Source organism: Homo sapiens, chromosome 6 (genome assembly GCF_000001405.40).
Source record: "Homo sapiens chromosome 6, GRCh38.p14 Primary Assembly".
Lineage (NCBI taxonomy): Eukaryota > Metazoa > Chordata > Mammalia > Primates > Hominidae > Homo > Homo sapiens.
The window spans coordinates 158,563,378-158,581,648 of NC_000006.12; the positions used below are offsets into that span (position 1 = coordinate 158,563,378).

The window sequence follows — 18,271 nt, forward strand, 5'->3', positions numbered from 1 at the left end:
AGGTGATCTACCTGCCTCAGCCTCCCAAAGTGCTGGGACTATAGGTGTGAGCCACCACGCTTGGCCAGGAACTGGGGTTCTTGAGAGGTAGAGTAACTGCCCCAGGTTACCCTGCAGTGGATAGGTCCAGGCAGCTGGCCCCCAGCCCAGGTTCCTAACCACCAGGCTGCACTGCCTGGAGCCTCCTGCTAGGGCCAGCACTGCTTGTGCTGAAATGGGGCTCACTGGCCAGCGTTTGACCTACTTCCTTGTTCCCTGTGGCCTGGGTAGGATATTTGCTGAACTGACCAACATGCTCCTGCGTGTGAGTCACTGGGCTTGCAATCTGGAAAGGATACACATGAACTCACCAGTCCTTGGGTAGCTTAGACCATTGTTTATTAAATTGTGTTTTGAGGTGGTTAGGCCTTGAATGTTCACATAATAGCTTTGCGAACTCTGTTGCTCAGGCTGGAGTGCAATGGTGCGATCTCAGCTCACTGCAACCTTTGCCTCCCAGGTTCAAGCAATTCTCCTGCCTCAGCCTCCCAAGAAGCTGGAACTACAGGTGCGCGCCACCACACCTAATTTTTGTATTTTTAGTAGGGACACGGTTTTGCCATGTTGGCCAGGCTGGTCTTGAACTCCTGACCTCAGGTGATGCACCTACCTCGGCTTCCGAAAGTGCTGGGATTACAGGCATGAGCCACTGCGCCTGGCTTGTACTTAACTCTTGAATAGCTAGAGAAATGACTTATACCCAAGTTGGCTGATTGAAATTTTAGAGTTCCTATCCTGCTCCCTTTGAGAAGTTTCTTTTCAAAACCCATTAGCTGGTAGGTTACTTGAAAAGGAAAGATTTTAGTGAGGGGCCAAACAGTGAATGTGAGGGAGTGGTGGGCCTTCTTTCTGCCCCGACCTCCACATTCTGGGTGTGCATTTGTGGGTTCCAGTCCCACCTCCACACCCTGCTGCCTGGGGCCTCAGTGGGCCTGCATCCTCTCACCCCAGCCTGTGTTTTCCCACCTGTGAAATGGGCCGATGTGCCTGTCTTACAGGGAAGCTCCCAGCCTGGTACCAAATAGGTGCTCAGGAAATGCCAGCTCCCACCTCTGCGGCAGCCAGCTGGAGGGGAGACTTCATACAGTGGGGTCTTTGAAGATGTTGTTAGAATGAAATCCAAAATGCTTTCAAACAGAAAAAGTAGAGGAGAAAAAGCACAGCCATCGTTTCTAATAGCTAGCCTGGCTGAGTTCTTGCCACGCTGTTCTGACCACTATGTTTATGATTCCACCCGCACCTGCCAGCAACTCTGTGAGATGAATCTTCTGCCTCTCTCCATTTTGCAGATGAGGAAACTGAGGGTCTGGGGAACTGTTTACTTGCCTGCTGTCATGTGGTCAGGAAGTGGGGAGCCAGGCTGTCAGGCAACAGGCCGGCATTTTGGGCCAAAGGAGAAGAGATTATTTTTATACAGATTGGAAAAATAAAAACAACAGTGTGAGAATGGGCTGGGAGATTTAAAGTCCCCGACTACTGCTCAGATCCTAATTTGTCAATTCTCATGTGGGAGATGCCGGCATGAGTTGAACAAGCAGCAGGATGTGTAGTACCAGAAGTTCTCGGTCTTACCCGCCTACCGTCGTGGTGGTTTGCGGAGACCGAGATGAAGGTGTCTCTCACACCCCTTGGGCCCCTGCTGCGGATGCTGGTGTTGCTGGGTTCTGTAGAAGTGGGAATGCTGGTGCTGGCTTCCCTCACATCTCTGTCCCTCTCGCTGCAGGACAGCAATTTGAGGTGTTCTCACGACCTCTGCTTACCCGGATTGTATCTGTTTTGTGGTTCTGTGCAGCAGTCCTAGGGCAGCTGAGTGCTTGCGGACTGCTCGCCTCCCCTGCCGTGCCCTCCTGGCCCTGCTTTCTGAACCCCTCGTGAGCCCTATGTGGGAGGGGTAGGCACTTAGTGGGCAAAGTTGTGTTGGTGCCGTGGTCCCGAGGTGCTCAGTGCATCTAGTGGGGACATGGCTTTACAGCTGGCCAGGCCTGAGCAAGCATTGTGGCCTCAAGGACCAGGTCCCAGGGAGAAGGTTTTCTGGATGGGGCTGCCAGGAACTGCTGTGCCCCAGCTACAGAAGCAGAGGGCCAAAGCCAGAGCCACAGACAGCAGGAAGAGACAACGCTGGGGGGAGAAAGTTCAATGTTGCAATTCAGTGGTTCGCTTACCATTTACCATTGCAGGGAAAATAGGAGAACATGGAGGAAAACAGAAAAAAACAGGGAAGAGTGAGTTAGTAAAAATGAGAGGCATCGAAAGTTACTGGACCTGCACCATTCCTGAGGCTCAGTGCTGGCCTCTGGGGGTGGGAGGGGAGCTGCAGGTGTGGGGAGGGTGTGGTGTGGATCCACAGTGGAGCCCCTGCAATGAAATCCTGAAAACTGGTGCAGCGTGTCCTGCGGGCGAGTGGACAGTTGCTTTCCCCCACAGAGCCTCGCGGTGGGGGCGGGGGTGGAGTGACCTGTCAGTGGCCGCAGGATGGGCAGTGCCCCACAGCAGGGATGCCTGCTGTCTTGCGTTCTGAAAGGACAGTTCCCGGCACCTCGAGACAGGAGGTTTTCTATGCCTATGTGACTTTGTATGTTGCGTTTCCTTCTAAATTTTGTTTTATTTCTGGGGTGTGTGTACTGGTGGAGAACTTTGGATTTAGTAGAATATCTGAGGTGAATCTAAATAGATTCTTCCCAGTCTCCTGGCTTGTGTACCTGGACGGTTGGAGTTGTTGTGTCCTGAGATGGGCCAGGCCACAGGCACAGGACCAGGGGTTTGGTGTGAGGCAGGTCATGTGTGAGGTACCTGCTTGATAGCCAAACGGGCATGCCAAGTGGTTGAGTAGGGGTCTGGAGTTGAGGGGAGAGGACTGGGCTGAGGTCTAGAGCAGGCCATTGTTCATACCTGCATCCTCTCGCAAGCCCGAGACAGGATGAGATTACCAAGGGAGTGAGAGTAGAGAAGGGGAGGGGACAGAGAGCAGTGTGTCCCAGGATGATGATGGTGAGGGAGGTGATGGGGTGAGGAAGATGATGGCGAGGAGTTGATGAGGGAGGTGATGGTGAGGGAGGTGATGGTGAGCTCCTGAGGGAGGTGATGGGGTGAAGGAGATGATGGTGAGGAGTTGAGGGAGGTGATGGGGTGGAGGGAGGTGATACGGTGAGGGAGGTGATGGTGAGGAGTTGAGGGAGGTGATGGGGTGGAGGGAGGTGATACGGTGAGGGAGGTGATGGTGAGCTCATGAGGGAGGTGATGGGGTGAGGGAGGTGATGGGGTGAAGGAGATGATGGTGAAGAGTTGAGGGAGGTGATGGGGTGAGGGAAGTGATACGGTGAGGGAGGTGATGGTGAGGAGTTGAGGGAGGTGATGATGAGGCTGTGGAGAGACCGACGGAAGTTTTCCAGCTCCTGTCTCATTTGGATTAGACACTCCACAAACCTCACCTTGCTTGGAAGCAGTCTTTTGGGAAAGAAAAGATGAATAATGAGGGGAGACCTGGCTCACGGTGATTTGCATTATGGATGCCATTTTGGGGATAGGCATTCCAGTAAAGGTGTGTTTAGTTTTTCTAGGAAACACATCTGTGATATTTTAAAGCACCTGTGAAAGTGAGATTAATTTAGAAAGGGCCCAAAGAGTCAAGGGGACCTTCAGGGGACAGTTTATTTCCTTGCCTTTGACAGATCTTCCAAGGGCCCCGCGGCTCTAGGCAGGCCAGAATTTGCGAGTGTATTAGATGCCTCTTGTGAAAAGCTGCATGGGCCAGGAGGGGAAACTGACATGTGGCCCCAGCAAGAAGAAGAGGCAGTGTTGAGAGCCGGCAGGGGTTTTCTAGGAAGTCTTCCTGGCCTGGGTAGCTGGGCCGAGGACTTCCTCAGCTGGCATGCTGACCCGGCTGGGCAGGTGGGGAAGCATGGAGCCCCTTGCCTAGCATCTCTCCACCAACTTGAGGGAACAACACAAACGCTTTTGGAATAACGAGTGGAAGTTGAGTTTGGTAGATGATTTTGTATGCCTCCCACGTGCCAAGCCGTTCGCCGTCAGGCACTCTGCTGTGTAGTGCAGACTGCATCTGTTGTAATGGTTTCAACTGTGGGCAGCCGTGAGAGATGGAGGGTGAGGGAACACTTCAGGGAGAAGGTGGGACACAGCTGAACCCTGGATGCTGGGTGGGATTGAGGTAGCTTTGCTGGGAGAAGAGAGAGCATCTTAGATCAGCAGAGCGCTGTGTGAGTGGGCCAGCCTGGAGTCTGGCTTGACCCTATTGGGCAGCATCATAGAATTGAAGCTCTGGAGTTGGATGCGCGGGTTTCAGTGTTGCACTTAGCAGCCTTGTGATCTAGGGCAAGTAATGGAACCTTCCTGAGTCTGAGCTTTCTCATCTGAAAGGGGTTGCAGTAGTACCTATCTCAGGGCTGTGATGACGGAGGGAGTGCGTATAATTCACATAGGATATGTGCAGGGTGGCAGGAAGGCTGGAGAGGGATTGTGGGGAAGGATCTCGGGGACTTTGAAAGGCCTGTCTAAACTTGATGGAGTTGGCTGCGGGGCACTGTACGCTTCCTGAGCAGGGCGAGGCTGTTAAAGTGCTGTAATGGCACAAAGGAAGGTGCGTTTGGAGGTGATGGCAGCAGCTGGCAGGAGTTTTTGGGGCCTGAACAGTGGGACTGGCGTGCTGGGGATGAAGAGGAACTGGGGAGCAAGGACTCAGCTCTTCCTGGCTGGCTGAAAGTGTGGAAGGAGCGAGAGAAGGGCATCTGAGATGGTGCCAGGTTTCAGGGTACGAGAATGGAGAAAGGGTGGAGGCAGGAAGTGGGCAGTGGAAGCGGGCTTTTCAGTAATGTTATTTTGTTTTTTAGCTCAGTTTGAAACCTTTTGACCTTGAAGTACTGTAGGGCTTCTAGGTGAAAACGTGTTGGGCAGCGCTGCTTCAGAGTGGGGTAGGGTGGGCAGGGAGGATGGCTCCTGAAGGCAGGAAGGACGGAGAGAGAAGCAGCAGGAGATGAGCTGGTGTTGGAGGACTGGTGCGAGGGGTGGCAGGAGTCTAGGACTAGAGGTTTCAGGAAGCACACGGGGACGACAGAGATGAGGAGAGGGAAGGCCTGGGGTCAGGGACCCCCAGGGACCCTCTCCTGTTCGTAGGCTGTGCATATTTTCTGCATCACAGACTTGCCTCTATGTGTTTAGAAATATCCTCCCTTGGGGGACTGATCAGAGAGGGCCATGGGCTCTCTTGGTCACTGAGACTTACTCGGTCACTGGTCTAGGTTGGCATGGTGTTAGAGACCTGTGAGCATTTTCAGCAGGAGGCAGAGCTGCCAGTGGGTTTCTGTTGCAGAACAGGAGCCGTGTTCTGAAGCGACTGGGGACTCCAGCCGCTGTGGTCACTGAGCTGGTCTCACAGCAGGGGGCTAGGTTAGTTCTGGCAAAGACACCTCCCCTCTCCCATCTTTACCTTGGCTTCTCAATGTTTTGTTGTTTTGCCCATGAGCAACAGTTTTAGAGCTATGATTGATCTGAAACGGGGTCTTGTTTCTGAGGTTTCTGAAGTCTGTGGTTTTTTGGCTCAAATCTTTTTTATTTTAATTTTTTAGTGACAGGGTCTCGCCCTGTTACCCAGGCTGAGTGCAGTGGTGCAGTCTTAGCTCACTGTAGCTTCAAATTTCTGAGCTCAAACGATCCTCCCCCCTCAGCCTCCAGAGCTGCTGGGACTACAGGCATGAGCCATGCTGGGCTGTTTCAGAACTTTTAGATTGGAAGTCGAGAGCGGAAAGAGTCGCAGAGGGGAAGGCATTGATCATCACGCAGAATTATCCTGTCCTGGGTGCTGCCTTGGCCCATGATAGCCCTGCAGGCTGCAGAGGGTCCCAGGACCCTAGGCCCTCCAGTGAGGATGCCTGCTTGTCAGGAAAATGAAGACAGCGGAAGCCAGGGCCTGGCGCCCACCCTCTCACCCACGAGCCTGTTGCAGCACAGGCGGTTATACCCAGCTTACACTTGCTTAAGAAGACAGATTATGTTGTTTTCTCTGTCTTTTTTCCTTTGAGTTGGATGACTTGATTGTTAAACCAGGAAAATTTCTAATAAGTTGGACTTAAGTAGAAGTTTTCGGGAAGGGGAGACAATGGATTTTATTGAGCCTTCTGAGAGAGACTGGCAGGTGCCTGGGGCGGGTTGTGCCCTCATGCCCTTTCTCTTTTTTTTTTTTTTTTAAATTGAGACAGGGTCTTGCTCTGTCGCCCAGGCTGGAGTACAGTGGCATGGTCTAGGCTCACTGCAACCTCCACCTCCCGGGTTCAAGCGATTCTCCTGCTTCAGCCTCCCAAGTAGCTGGGATTATAGGCATGTGCCATCACACCTGGCTAAGTTTTGTATTTTTGTAGAGATGGGGTTTCACCATGTTGGCCAAGGCTGGTCCCGAATTCCTGACCTCAGGTGATCTGCCTGCCTCGGCCTCCCATGCCCTTTCTGGGATTGCAGGCGTGAGCCACCGCACCCAGCCTCTCATGCCCTTTCTTAAGGCCTCTTTTTGCAACGTTCCTTCTCATTTGCTAAATAACTGTGCTAGTAGGGGGTCAATAATGTGTTTTTGAAATCAAGATTTAAAATATAGTTATTCTGGTTTTCTCTGCTTCCAAGTAATTTCTCTTGTGCTTTTAGCCTCTGCTTGGGTAGTTCTCGGAGCTCCATAGTCTTGGGACTGTGGCTGCCCCGGGGGACGGGACCTCCGAGAACGTTGTAGTGGAGGAACTCAGAAATAGCAGTGTCATTGTTTAAAAGCTACTTGAGCTTTACAGCAGAGGGCCAGAGATAGCAGAGTGTTTCCGTACACTTTTTTTTTTTTTTTTTGAGATGGAGTCTTGCTCTGTCGCCCAGGCTGGGGTGCAGTGGTGCAATCTCAGCTCAATGCAAGCTCTGCCTCCCGGGTTCACACCGTTCTCCTGCCTCGGCCTCCCGAGTAGCTGGGACTACAGGTGCCCGCCACAAAGCCTGGCTAATTTTTTTTTTTTTTTGTAGTTTCAGTAGAGACAGGGTTTCACCGTGTCAGCCAGGATGGTCTCGATCTCCTGACCTCGTGATCCGCCCGCCTTGGCCTCCCAAAGTGCTGGGATTACAGGCATGAGCCACTGCGCCCGGCCCCGTACACTCTTCTTCAATTCACAGGTGGGGAAACAGGTCTGGAGTCAGTATACGTGCCCAAGATGCTGCAGCCCTGCCCTCTGCACCCACACTCTGCAGAGGTAGCTCTGAGACAGCGCTGCAGGCTCCAACCTACACCAACTCCTCTGGGCAAGCCCTGTGGCTTCCCCTCAGGGGGGCACTTCACATAACCTGGCGCATTTATCAAAATGAAGACGTTGACCTTGGTGCAGTACTGTTAACTGAACTAAAGGCTTTATTTGCATTTCCCCACCATCTAGTCCATTTAGCTTTGTGTCATTTTTTTTTTAACTGAAAAGGCCCTGAGCAGCTGTAGGAATCTTCCATTCTGCAGTATTTTGTTTGTTTGTTAGGTTGGTTTTTTTTTTTGAGATGGAGTCTCGCTCTGTCACCTGGCTGGAGTGCAGTGGTGTGATCTCGGCTCACTGCAACCTCCAACTCCCTGGTTCAAGCGATTCTCCTGCTTCAGCCTCCTGAACAGCTGAGATTACAGGCATGTGCCACCACACCCAGCTAATTTTTTAAAAAATTAATTAATTAATTAATTTTTTTGAGATGGAGTCTCGTTCTGTTGCCCAGGCTGAAGTGCAGTGGTGCCATCTTGGCTCACTGCAAGCTCCGCCTCCCGGGTTCGTGCCATTCTCCCGCCTCAGCCTCCCAAGTAGCTGGGACTGCAGGCACCCGCCACCGCGCCCGGCTAATTTTTTGTGTTTTTTAGTAAAGACGGGGTTTCACCGTGTTAGCAGGATGGTCTCGATCTCCTGACCTTGTGATCCGCCCACCTTGGCCTCCCAAAGTGCTGGGATTATAGGCGTGATCTGCCCGCCTTGGCCTTGTGATCTGCCCGCCTTGGCCTCCCAAAGTGCTGAGATTACAGGCCTGAGCCACCACGCCTGGCTGCTAATTTTTGTATTTTTAGTAGAGACGGGGTTTCATCGTGTTGGCCAGGATGGTCTCAATCTCCTGACCTCGTGATCCGCCCGCCTTGGCCTCCCAAAGTGCTGGGATTATAGGCATGAGCCACCGCGCCCGGCCATCTGCAGTGTTAATAACGTATTAAACACACCATGCTTAAACTAAGGAATAGACTTGACACCTGGGTTAACTGCGGAAGGTCAGAGGAGACACTTCTTCCTGGGCCAGCCTTCACACTTTGCAGGGCTTGCCCAGAGGAGTTGGTGTAGGTTGGAGCCTGCAGCGCCGTCCCAGAGCAACCTCTGTGCAGTGCAGGTGCAGAGGGCAGGGCTGCAGCATCTTGGGCACATGCACTCTCTCCAGACCTCACTTTCCCCACCTGTGAATTGAAGGTGTTGAGTTTGCTCCCTGAGGTCATTCCTATGGCTCCTGGGCCTCTGAGGATCTGTCAGGCCCCAGAGCTGAGTTGGGGCCAGGCCACCTCCTTCCCCAGCTCTCTTGTCTCATGTTTGTGGGTGAGTGTTTGCACTGAGTCCCGGGGCAGCTGTGGAGCCACCTATTCTTTATTTCTTCACCCAGTGACCCTGGTCTGTGTGCTCACTGCCCAGGTGGCCATGCAGGCCCTGCTGGGGGCAGCGGGCCTGGCCTTATCAGAGCTACGTCGCAGAGGTGTTGACTCACGGCCTCACCCTGGCCCTGGGACGGGCCTGGCAGTGACTTCCTGCTCTGCAACTGCAGTCTCTCAGGCGTGTGCTGCGGGGATGTGGGCACGCAGGCCCGTGTGAGCTTTGGACCGTGAAGCCAGTAACCTTCCTGCAGGGCCAGGCTGAGCATACTATGTCCATCTCCCTGGGTGGACGTGCGGCTGCCTGTCCCTGAGGTGAGGTGCTCGGTCTCCTTCCCGCTGGTCTGGCTCCCAAGACCAGAACATGCGAGGACAACAGAGAACACAGAAGAGAGAGCAAAACAGACAGCGCCGCACGTCCCTCTGGTCTGTGGGTCTCCTCCTCAGGGCACAGGGCGGGGGCCGGCCACACCCCTTTTGTCGATGGTTTGACTGGGACACAGCCATGCTCGTGCGTCCTGTGCTGCTCAGAGAAGTAGAGCTGTGCCTTGCGACAGAGACCGGTGTTCCCAAAGCCTCACATGTACTACCTGGGCCTTTACAGAGTTTTCTTTTGTTTGCTGGCCCTTGATACAGGATGTTCTAAAAGAAATGATCCCTGCCTCCTAGAGTTTTCCTGTGACTGGGCAGACACCTGGGAGGGCGAGTGAGTTTCCCTGTCTGTGTAAATCACAGAAACCTGCACGGCAAGGCAGCGTCCGTGTTGGGTGGCACAAGGGGAACCTGAAGTTGTGGAGGACTTGGGATGTGGGCTTGTGGGAATGGCAGAGGGAGGAGTGGGCTTGTGGGCTTGTGGGTTGTGAGGTTGTGAGGTTGTGGGCTTGTGGGAATGGCAGAGGGAGGAGTGTGGTGCTGGCAGTACCTGGAGCTTCGAGTGGGGCCTGGCAGTGTCACCCCCATAGGCCGTGTGCTTGTGGGTGTGCCAGTGTGTGTGCGTGTGTGTATGTATGTGTGTGCATGAGATGAGTAGTGGGATCTGGCCACTGCCTCTGTGGCAGTGACCCCTGGGGGGCCTAGGAGCCCCCCTAGTGCATTCTCCTCGAGTGTGGGGTTGGTGTGCTGCGTGCAGACCGCGGTGGCTGGTGTGTCCACGGACCCTCTAACCCGGAACGTGCAGGAACGCGCAGCTCCTGAATTGGCTGCTGAGGCTGTTTTGTCAGGAGGTTACCTGGTGGCAGTGCAGGCCCACTTCAGAAGTGAGGGACTGGGAGGGGAGGTGGGCAGTGTCGTGTGGGGAGGGGTGTTGCTGCAGGGCCGCTTTCCTGTGACCTCCGGGCCTTCCCCTGACCGTCCCTCACTGCTGGCTTCTGCCCCCAGGCTGGCGCCCATGCGGCTCTACACGCTCTCCAAGCGCCACTTTGTCCTCGTGTTTGTCGTCTTCTTCATCTGCTTTGGCCTGACCATCTTCGTTGGGATCAGAGGTAAGGTTCGGTTTTTACTCATTGAATCTTTTGCCATGCGCGGTGGCCCTGGCGTATTGCTTTCGGTCAGCCCAGCTGTGCCCCTATCTTCCACTGCTAAGGGCCCCAGCGTGGAGGGAGAAGTGTCCACAGGGTGGATGGGGTCCCAGCCCTGCGCTTCTAGCTGCTCTGTCTCTTGTGGGGGAGGTGTGCAGTAAGTAGCCCCGAGTGACCCTGGCCATGCCCTGTGCAGCAGCCAGGGGCAGCCTTGACCACATGCCTTCATTGGCCAAGCAAACGTTTCTAATCTGCTGTGCACGAGACCCAGCTGGGCGCTGGTGTGTCCAGAACATGCTGCCTGGTTGGGGAGACAGGCCATGGAAGAGCTCTGATGCAGCTGATGGGGAGGGGAGGAGAGTGGGGGGCTGATGGCTGTGAGCATGGGGCGGGGTGGCTGTAGGAGCAGTGGGATCATCTAGGCCAATCCCCTTTCTCATGGATGGAGAACCTGAGAAGCCAAGTGGTTTTCACAAGGTTCCCAGAGACCCAGGTGTCTTCAGCCCCGTGCAGAGGGCAGGCAACCAGGAGCCTGACTTGTTTGGAGAGAATCTGTTCCTCCATTGCTTTGTTTCCCTCTTAAATAAAATATCTTTTTCCATAAGGGTGATTTCTGGTAGATATTATTTAATTGATTGACTTAATACTAAAGTGTGAATGGCAGTTAGGCTTAACCTGTCCCAGAGGCAATTTGTGCCTCAAAAGGTTAGTTTCTTACCCAAAACTGGGTTGGTAAATGGACGAGGAAGCTGGGGGAGAGTGCTGTTTATCTGATGGTGATGGTGATAATAGCAGCTGTAGCCAACTTCTTTTCTTTCCCGTTAAGTCATCAAGAAATAAAAATTACATTAATTACAGCACAAGATATATCCATGATCTTACTTGATTTTCACTGCTATCCTTTAAGATTGGTAGGGGAGGCATTAATATTCTCATGGTCTCCAGTCTCAGTGGGACCTCAGCCACCTTCTGTTATTTTAAGCCACTCTTCTGTCTCAAACGTCCATGATTATATCAAACCCTCTCCATTCTTGCAGAAATGAGAAATGTAAAGTGTGCACCAAGGCTGAGATACAAGTGATGTTCAGGATTTCTACATCCCCTTCTTTCTTTCCATACAGTACTCTATTAGTCAGAGTTGTCCAGAGAAACAGAATCAATACGAAATATCTACCTATCTGCCTGCCTGCCTGCCTGTCTATCCTGTCTGTCTGTCTGTCCTGCCTGTCTGTCTATTATAAGGAATTGGTACATGATTATGGAAGCTGAGAAGTCCAAAGGTCTGCAGTCAGCAAGTAAGAGGCCAGGAGAGCCCATGGTGTAGTTCCAGTCCAAGCCCAAAGGCATGAGAACTAGGAGAGCTGATGGAGTAAATTTCCAGCTGAGTCCAGGTCCGAGTCTGAAAGCAGGAGACCAGTGTCCCAGCTGGACACAGAGCAAATTCCCCCTTACTCAGCCAATTTGTTTTATTCAATGGATTGGATGAGGTCCACCCACATTGGAGAGAGCAATCTGCTTGACTCAGTCTACCGATTCACATGTTAATCTCATCCAGAAACGACCCACAGACACAATAGAATAATGTTTAACCAAATGTCTCAGCACCCTGTGGCCCAGTCATGTTGACACATAAAATTATCACAAGTACTCTGCTCCTGATTATTTTATGTGATAAGGTTATTACTATTTTAGAGTTAGGAGTACCTTAGGGACTATTGGCTTAGTAACTGTCATTTTGCAAATGAGGAAATCAAGACCCAGAAAGCCTTGTTAGTGAAGACTGGAGTCCAGATTCTTCTTTTTTTTTTGCCCAGGCTAGAGTGCAGTGGTGCAATCTTGGCTCACTGCAACCTCTTCCTCCCCAGTTCAAATGATTCTCCAGTAGCTGGGATTAGAGGCACCTGCCTCCACGCCTGGCTAATTTTTGTTGGTATTTTTAGTAGAGACAGGGTTTCACCATGTTGGCCAGGCTGGTCTCGAACTCCTGACCTCAGATGATCCGCCTGCCTCGACCTCCCAAAGTGCTGGGATTACAGGTGTGAGTCACCGCAGCCAGCCAAGTCTAGATTTTTCTGATTCCCAGTTCTTAATTCTTTCCAGGAAACTAGACTGCCTTACTTCCTGGGTTAGGTGTTCACTCAGATTGTGAATCTGTTTAAAAGGGACCTCATTGTGGACACAGGCCTCTTTCCTACATTTGATATATGCTTCCCAGCATTCCTAAATGCATTCCAGAGAAATGTTACTGCCTTGTATTTCCTCCTTTTGAGTGGAGGATTGTTGGCAGACAATCCTTCTGGGCATGGTCACTGAGGCAGCCCAGAAAAACTGATATCACCAGTTGATAGTGATACGTTTTGGAACAAATCTAGTTCTAAATTAAATTAAAATCAGATTCACGGTGTTTCCTTTGACTACTTCTTTTAAGGCCAAACTCTAAAGAAATGCATTGTAAGAATCTGTGAAGCTTGGAGAGGATTCTGGGAAGATGGTGGAGTAGGAATCGATGTCTTCTACTTAGCCAACAGCTGCAGTGGCAGAATCTGTATGGTGTAACTGTTCTGGAACTCCAGAGTCTGTTGAAGGCTTGCCACTTCGAAGGGAATGCTTGTACATTAGATGGTGGCTAATTTTGGTCAGCACAGCTCTTAGCACAGTAGCAGGTACCCATCTTCCACTGCAGGCCTATAGCAGGCGGCTAAATGTGTGTTCCTAGCGCTTATAGAAACCAAGGTGGGCAAAAAGGACCCTGTCCTCCAGATAGTAGGCATCTGTGCTCTGATCACTGATGCTGCTTCTGATTGCAGAAGTTTGACGAAGTAAGAATGGCTGCTGTTGTTGTACCTCCCTCAATTGTTGCAAGCCCCTCCCCCGCTGGCTAACGTTACTTCCAGGGGATTTAAAGGGCTGGCACTTTTTTACCCCTTCGTTTTTGCCTTTTTCCTTTCTCGGGAGTCAGACATAGAAGACCAGGACATTCAAAACTGCTAATACAGGGAAATTTAGAAAGTCACCACACCTGCCCAGAGGAAGGCACAGGCTCAGAGAAAACCTTAAGTTTAAACCTCAGGCTGATCCTTTGCACAGAGACAGTCTATAACAACAACAAAAACAAAAATTCAAAAATGAATAACAGCAAACTCTGAGGAAGGGGAGAGTCTGGTTTCCAGAGGTACATTATTAGATTTAAGTGTCCACTTTTAAACAAAAGGTCACAAGGCGGCCGGGCGTGGTGGCTCATGCCTGTAATCCCAGCACTTTGGGAGGCCGAGGTGGGTGGATCACGACGTCAGGAGATCGAGACCATCCTGGCTAACATGGTGAAACCCCATCTCTGCTAAAAATACAAAAAATTAGCCAGGCATGGTGGTGGGCACCTGTAGCCCCAGCTACTTGGGAGGCTGAGGCAGGAGAATGGTGTGAACCCGGGAGGTAGAGCTTGCAGTGAGCCGAGATTGCGCCACTGCACTCCAGCCTGGGCAATAGAGCAAGACTCCATCTCAAAAAAAAAAAAAAAAAAAAAGTCACAAGGCAAACAATGAAGTATGACCCATCGAAGGGAAAAAAATGAAGTGTCAGAATCTGTCTCTGAGTAAGACCATATGACAGATCTGTTAGGCAGAGACTTTAAAACAGCTGTCTTAAAGGTGCTGAGGCAACTAAAGGAAGAGACATGGAGACAGTCAAGAAAACAATGTATGAATAAAAAGATAGAAAACCTAAAAGGAAACCAAAAAGAAATTCTGGAGATGAAAAGTACGCTAGAGTGATTCAAAGGCAGATTTGAACAGGTAGAGGAAAGAATCAGTGAATCTGAAGATAGGACAGTGGAAATTTTTGAGCCTGAGGAACAGAAAAACAGAAGAAAAATGAACAGAGACTGAGGGACCTTTGGGACACTATCAAATGGACCAACATACACACTCTGGGAGTCTGAGAAGGAGAAGAGATAGAGAATGGGTCAGAGAATATTTCAAGCGGTGATGACTGAAAACTTCCCATATTTGGTGAATGTGAATATAAACATCCAAGAAGCTCAACAAACTCAAAGTAGGATGAACTGAAAGAGACCCACACCAAGATATAATCAAACTGTAGAAAGCCAAAGACAGAATCTTGAAAGCAGTAAGAGAGTGACTCATCACATACAAGGGATCCTCAGTAAGTTTGTCAGCAGATACCTCATCAGAAACTTTGGAGACCAGAAGTCAGTGGGCTGATACATTCAAAGTTCTAAAAGAAAACTGTTGGCCGGGTGCAGTGGCTCACCCCTGTAATCCCAGTACTTTGGGAGGCTGAGGCGGGTGGATCACCTGAGGTCGGGAGTTCAAGACCAGCCTGACCAAGGTGGAGAAACCCCATTTCTACTAAAAATACAAAATTAGCCAGGCGTGGTGGCACATGCCTGTAATCCTAGCTACTTGGGAGGCTGAGGCAGGAGAATCTCTTGAACCCGGGAGGTGGAGGTTGTGGTGAGCTGAGATCGCGCCATTGCACTCCAGCCTGGGCAACAAGAGCGAAACTCCATCTCAAAAAAAAGACAAAAAAACAAAGAACAAAACAAAACTGTCAGTCAAGAATCCTACGTGTAGCAAAACTGAGGGAGAAGTTAAGACATTCCCAGATAAAATTTGAGGAAGTTATTACTATTAGACCTGCCCTGCAAGTATTGCTGAAGTGAGTCCTGCAGGTTGAAATGAAAGGACACTAGACAGTAACTTGAAGCCATATGATTTCAGTAAAGGTAAATACTTGGGTAATTATAAAAGCTCATATTATTGTAACAATGGTGTATAACTCCATTTTTTTTGTTTTCAACGTTATTTGAAAGACACATTTTTAAAAAGCCAACTATTACTGTAAAATCTAGTATTATTATAACTTTGGTTTGTAACTCCACATTTTGTTTTCTACATAGTTTAAGAGACTAATGCATTAAAACTTATTTTATGTTTTTGGACACAATATATAAAGATAGGCTTTTGTCACAATTGTGACAGCAGTTGAAAGAGGCGGGGATGGAGCTGTTATAGGTGCAGAATTTTTACATATTGATGTTAAGCTGGTATAAATTTAGAGTGTTATAACTTTAGGATATTAAAAGAGGTACAAAAAGGCTATGAGACATACAGAGAACGAAGGCATATAGAAAGCAAAATGACAGAAGCAAGTTTCTCCTGAGCAGTAATTACTATAAATGTAAATAAACTCTCCAATTAAAAAGCAGAGGTTGGCAGAATGGATTTTAAAACACCATACTCCAACTATATACTGTCTACAGGAGACTCACTCTAGATCCAAAGACACAAATAGGTTGAAGTAGAAGGATGGAAAAGGTTATGCCATGCAAATAGCACCACATGATCCAGCAATTTCACTTCCGTGTATATACTCAAGAGATTTGAAAGCAGGGTCTTGGCCGGGCATGGTGGCTCATGCCTGTAATCCCAGCACTTTGGGAGGCTGAGGCGGGTGAATCACCTGAGGTTAGAAGTTCGATTCCAGCCTAACCAACATGGTGAAACCCCGTCTCTACTAAAAATACAAAAATTAGCGAGGTGTGGTGGTGCATGCCTGTAATCCCAGCTACTTGGGAGGCTGAGGCAGGAGAAACACTTGAACCCAGGAGGCGGAGGTTGCAGTGAGCCGAGATCACGCTATTGTACTCCAGCCTGGGCAACAACAATGAAACTCCGTCTCAAAATTAAAAAAAAAAAAAGCAGGGTCTTGATATTTGTACACCCATGTTCATAGCAGCATTATTCACAATAACAAACTGTGGAATCAACCACAGTATCCATTGACAGATAAATGGACAGAGGAATGAAATGTGGTGTACACATACAATGGAATATTTAGCCTTAAAAAGTAAGGAAGTTCGGCCGGGCGCAGTGGCTCACGCCTGTAATCCCAGCACTTTGGGAGGGAGAGGTGTGTGGATCACAAGGTCAGGAGTTCAAGACCAGCCTGGCCAACATGATGAAACCCCATCTCTACTAAAATGCAAAAATTAGCCGAGCATGGTGGTAAGCACCTGTAATCCCAGCTACTTGGGAGGCTGAGGCAGGAGAATCGCTTGAACCTGGGAGGCAGAGGTTGCAGTGAGCCGAGATCCTGCCATTGCAGTCCAGCCTGGGCAACAAGAGTGAAACGCTGTCTCAAAAAACAAACAAACAAAAAACAAAAATAAGGAAATTCATACAGAAGCTATAATATGGATGAATTTTGAGGACATTATACTAAGTAAAATAAGCCATTGGAAAAAAGATAAATACTATAAGATTCACTTATATGGGGTACTTAGAGTAGTTAAAATCATCAAGACAGAAAGTAGAGTGGTGGCAGCCAGGGGCTGGGGGAAGGGAATGGGGAATTGTTTGATAGGCACAGTGTTTCAGTTTTGAATTGTGGAGATGGATGGCAGTGATGGTTGCACAGTATGAACGTATTTACTACCACTGAACTGTATGCTTAAAAATGGTTAAGACGGGCATGGCGCAGTGGCTCACGCCTGTAATCCCGGCACTTTGGGAGGCTGAGGTGGGCGGATCTCCTGAGGTCAGGAGTTCGAGACCAGCCTGACCAACATGGTGAAACCCTGTCTCTACTAAAAATAAAAAATTAGCCGGGCGTGGTGGCGCATGCCTGTAATCCCAGTTACTCGGGAGGCTGAGGCAGGAGAAGTGCTTGAACCTGGGAGGTGGAGGTGGTGGTGAGCTGAGACTGCGCTATTGCACTCCAGCCTGGGCAACAAGAACAAAAAGAAAAAAAATAGTTAAGATGTCAAGTTCTTGGATCTGTAGGAAAAAAAATGGTTAAGATGGCAAATCTTATGTATATTTTGTCACAGTAAAAATTGGAAAAAAAACTATGAGGTTCGTATACCTATTAGTTAAAACTTTATGCTTTCCTGCTTATATTAGCATATATTATGTTTATAGCCCTTAATAAGTATTTTTGGAAGACGGGATTAATTGGATGAGCAGATAAGTGTGTCTTAGGTTTTGGAAGAAATCTTTATATTTTACAGAATATATAAGACAGAGTCTCTATAGTTAATGCCTTCTTGGGCCCATGCATGTAGAGAGTGCTCTCATTGAGAGCCTAGCAGGGTGTTTCCTGTGGAAACCCTCTGTGTTGTATGCCAGTCATGCTGGTTGACTTGTGTTGGGAAGTCGTGAAGCACAGCAGAGTGGATATTCTGTGTCTGTGTTTGTGTGTTTATATCTTCTACTTACACATTGTATAATCTCTAAAGAAAAACCAGGTGAATTAAGGTCATCTCCGTGTAATGTGTGAGTCTTTCTTGGAATTTGGAAAAAAATACTAAATTATCAATATTGCTATAATCTGCTTTTGTCCTTTTCTGTTACACTTTAGGACCTAAAGTGATCCAGACTTCTGCGGCTAATTTTTCACTAAATAATAGCAAAAAGGTAAGACTGGGTCTGAGTGGCAGCTGGGTGGTGGGGTGCATTATAAACCTCAGGTCACTGAGAAATGGTTCCGCTTAGAGTCTTTAAGGTAGCCTTCCCTTGCCTTGCGGCTTCTCAGGCAACACATTTCTTCTTCCATTGTCAGCTGCTGGCATCTGGGTTCTTGTTTGCTAAAGTCACCATTTCTGCTGTAATAAACACCTCAGTACTTAGGAAGATGGTGGTGTTACCTCTTAGGGAGCAGTTGTTCATTTCCAAAGAGTGGCTAACTCATCCTGATTCCTTGCCTCTGTAAGTCCTATCAGATTGTAATTTTTAATAATGATACCACTTAGGTGTCTCATCTTATATTTGCCCAGGTTAAGAATTGGCCTCTGTCAGATTTCTAATGGTACATTTCTTTCTAATGATTACTTTGTATTCCTTGTGTGAACTCAATTTAAATGAAAAATCCTTTAAAAAATACACCTTAACTTGGCCAGGTGAGGTGGCTCATGCCTGTAATCCCAGCACTTTGGGAAGCTGAGGTGAGCTGATCACGAGGTCAAGAGATTGAGACCATCCTGGCTAACATGGTGAAACCCCATCTCTACTGAAAATACAAAAAAATTAGCTGGGCGTGGTGGGGGGGCGCCTGTAGTCCCAGCTACTCG

At 49.3% G+C, this 18,271-nt stretch overlaps 1 protein-coding gene across 18 annotated transcripts in view, besides 1 other annotated feature; it reads left to right on the forward strand.

Annotated features, from left to right (window-relative positions):
- Positions 1-18,271, forward strand: part of TMEM181 (transmembrane protein 181) — a 98,790-nt gene that overhangs the window by 26,738 nt on the left and 53,781 nt on the right. For 12 of the 18 annotated variants that reach the window (NR_164859.1, NM_001376817.1, XM_011536000.2 and 9 more), the window contains exons 2-3: positions 10,043-10,146; positions 17,563-17,618. The exons of 1 other annotated variant lie outside the window; for it this stretch is intronic. Coding sequence is in view for 16 of the 17 variants with exons in the window: in NM_001376817.1 (NP_001363746.1) it covers positions 10,043-10,146; positions 17,563-17,618 (160 nt within the window). In the remaining variant the exon portion in view is untranslated. Of the gene's footprint in view, positions 1-8,836; positions 9,092-9,130; positions 9,372-10,042; positions 10,147-17,562; positions 17,619-18,271 lie in introns of those variants that run through there. 5 more of the 18 variants (XM_011536001.3, XM_011536002.3, XM_047419184.1 and 2 more) reach the window with 3 other exon arrangements.
- Positions 15,711-15,923: a silencer, noted in NCBI's record as "fragment chr6:159000120-159000332 (GRCh37/hg19 assembly coordinates)". NCBI's record gives its function as "represses an EF-1alpha promoter that drives an FKBP-Casp9 reporter gene in an ReSE screen in K562 erythroleukemia cells {active_cell/tissue: K562}" and the evidence as "EXISTENCE:reporter gene assay evidence [ECO:0000049][PMID:32094911]".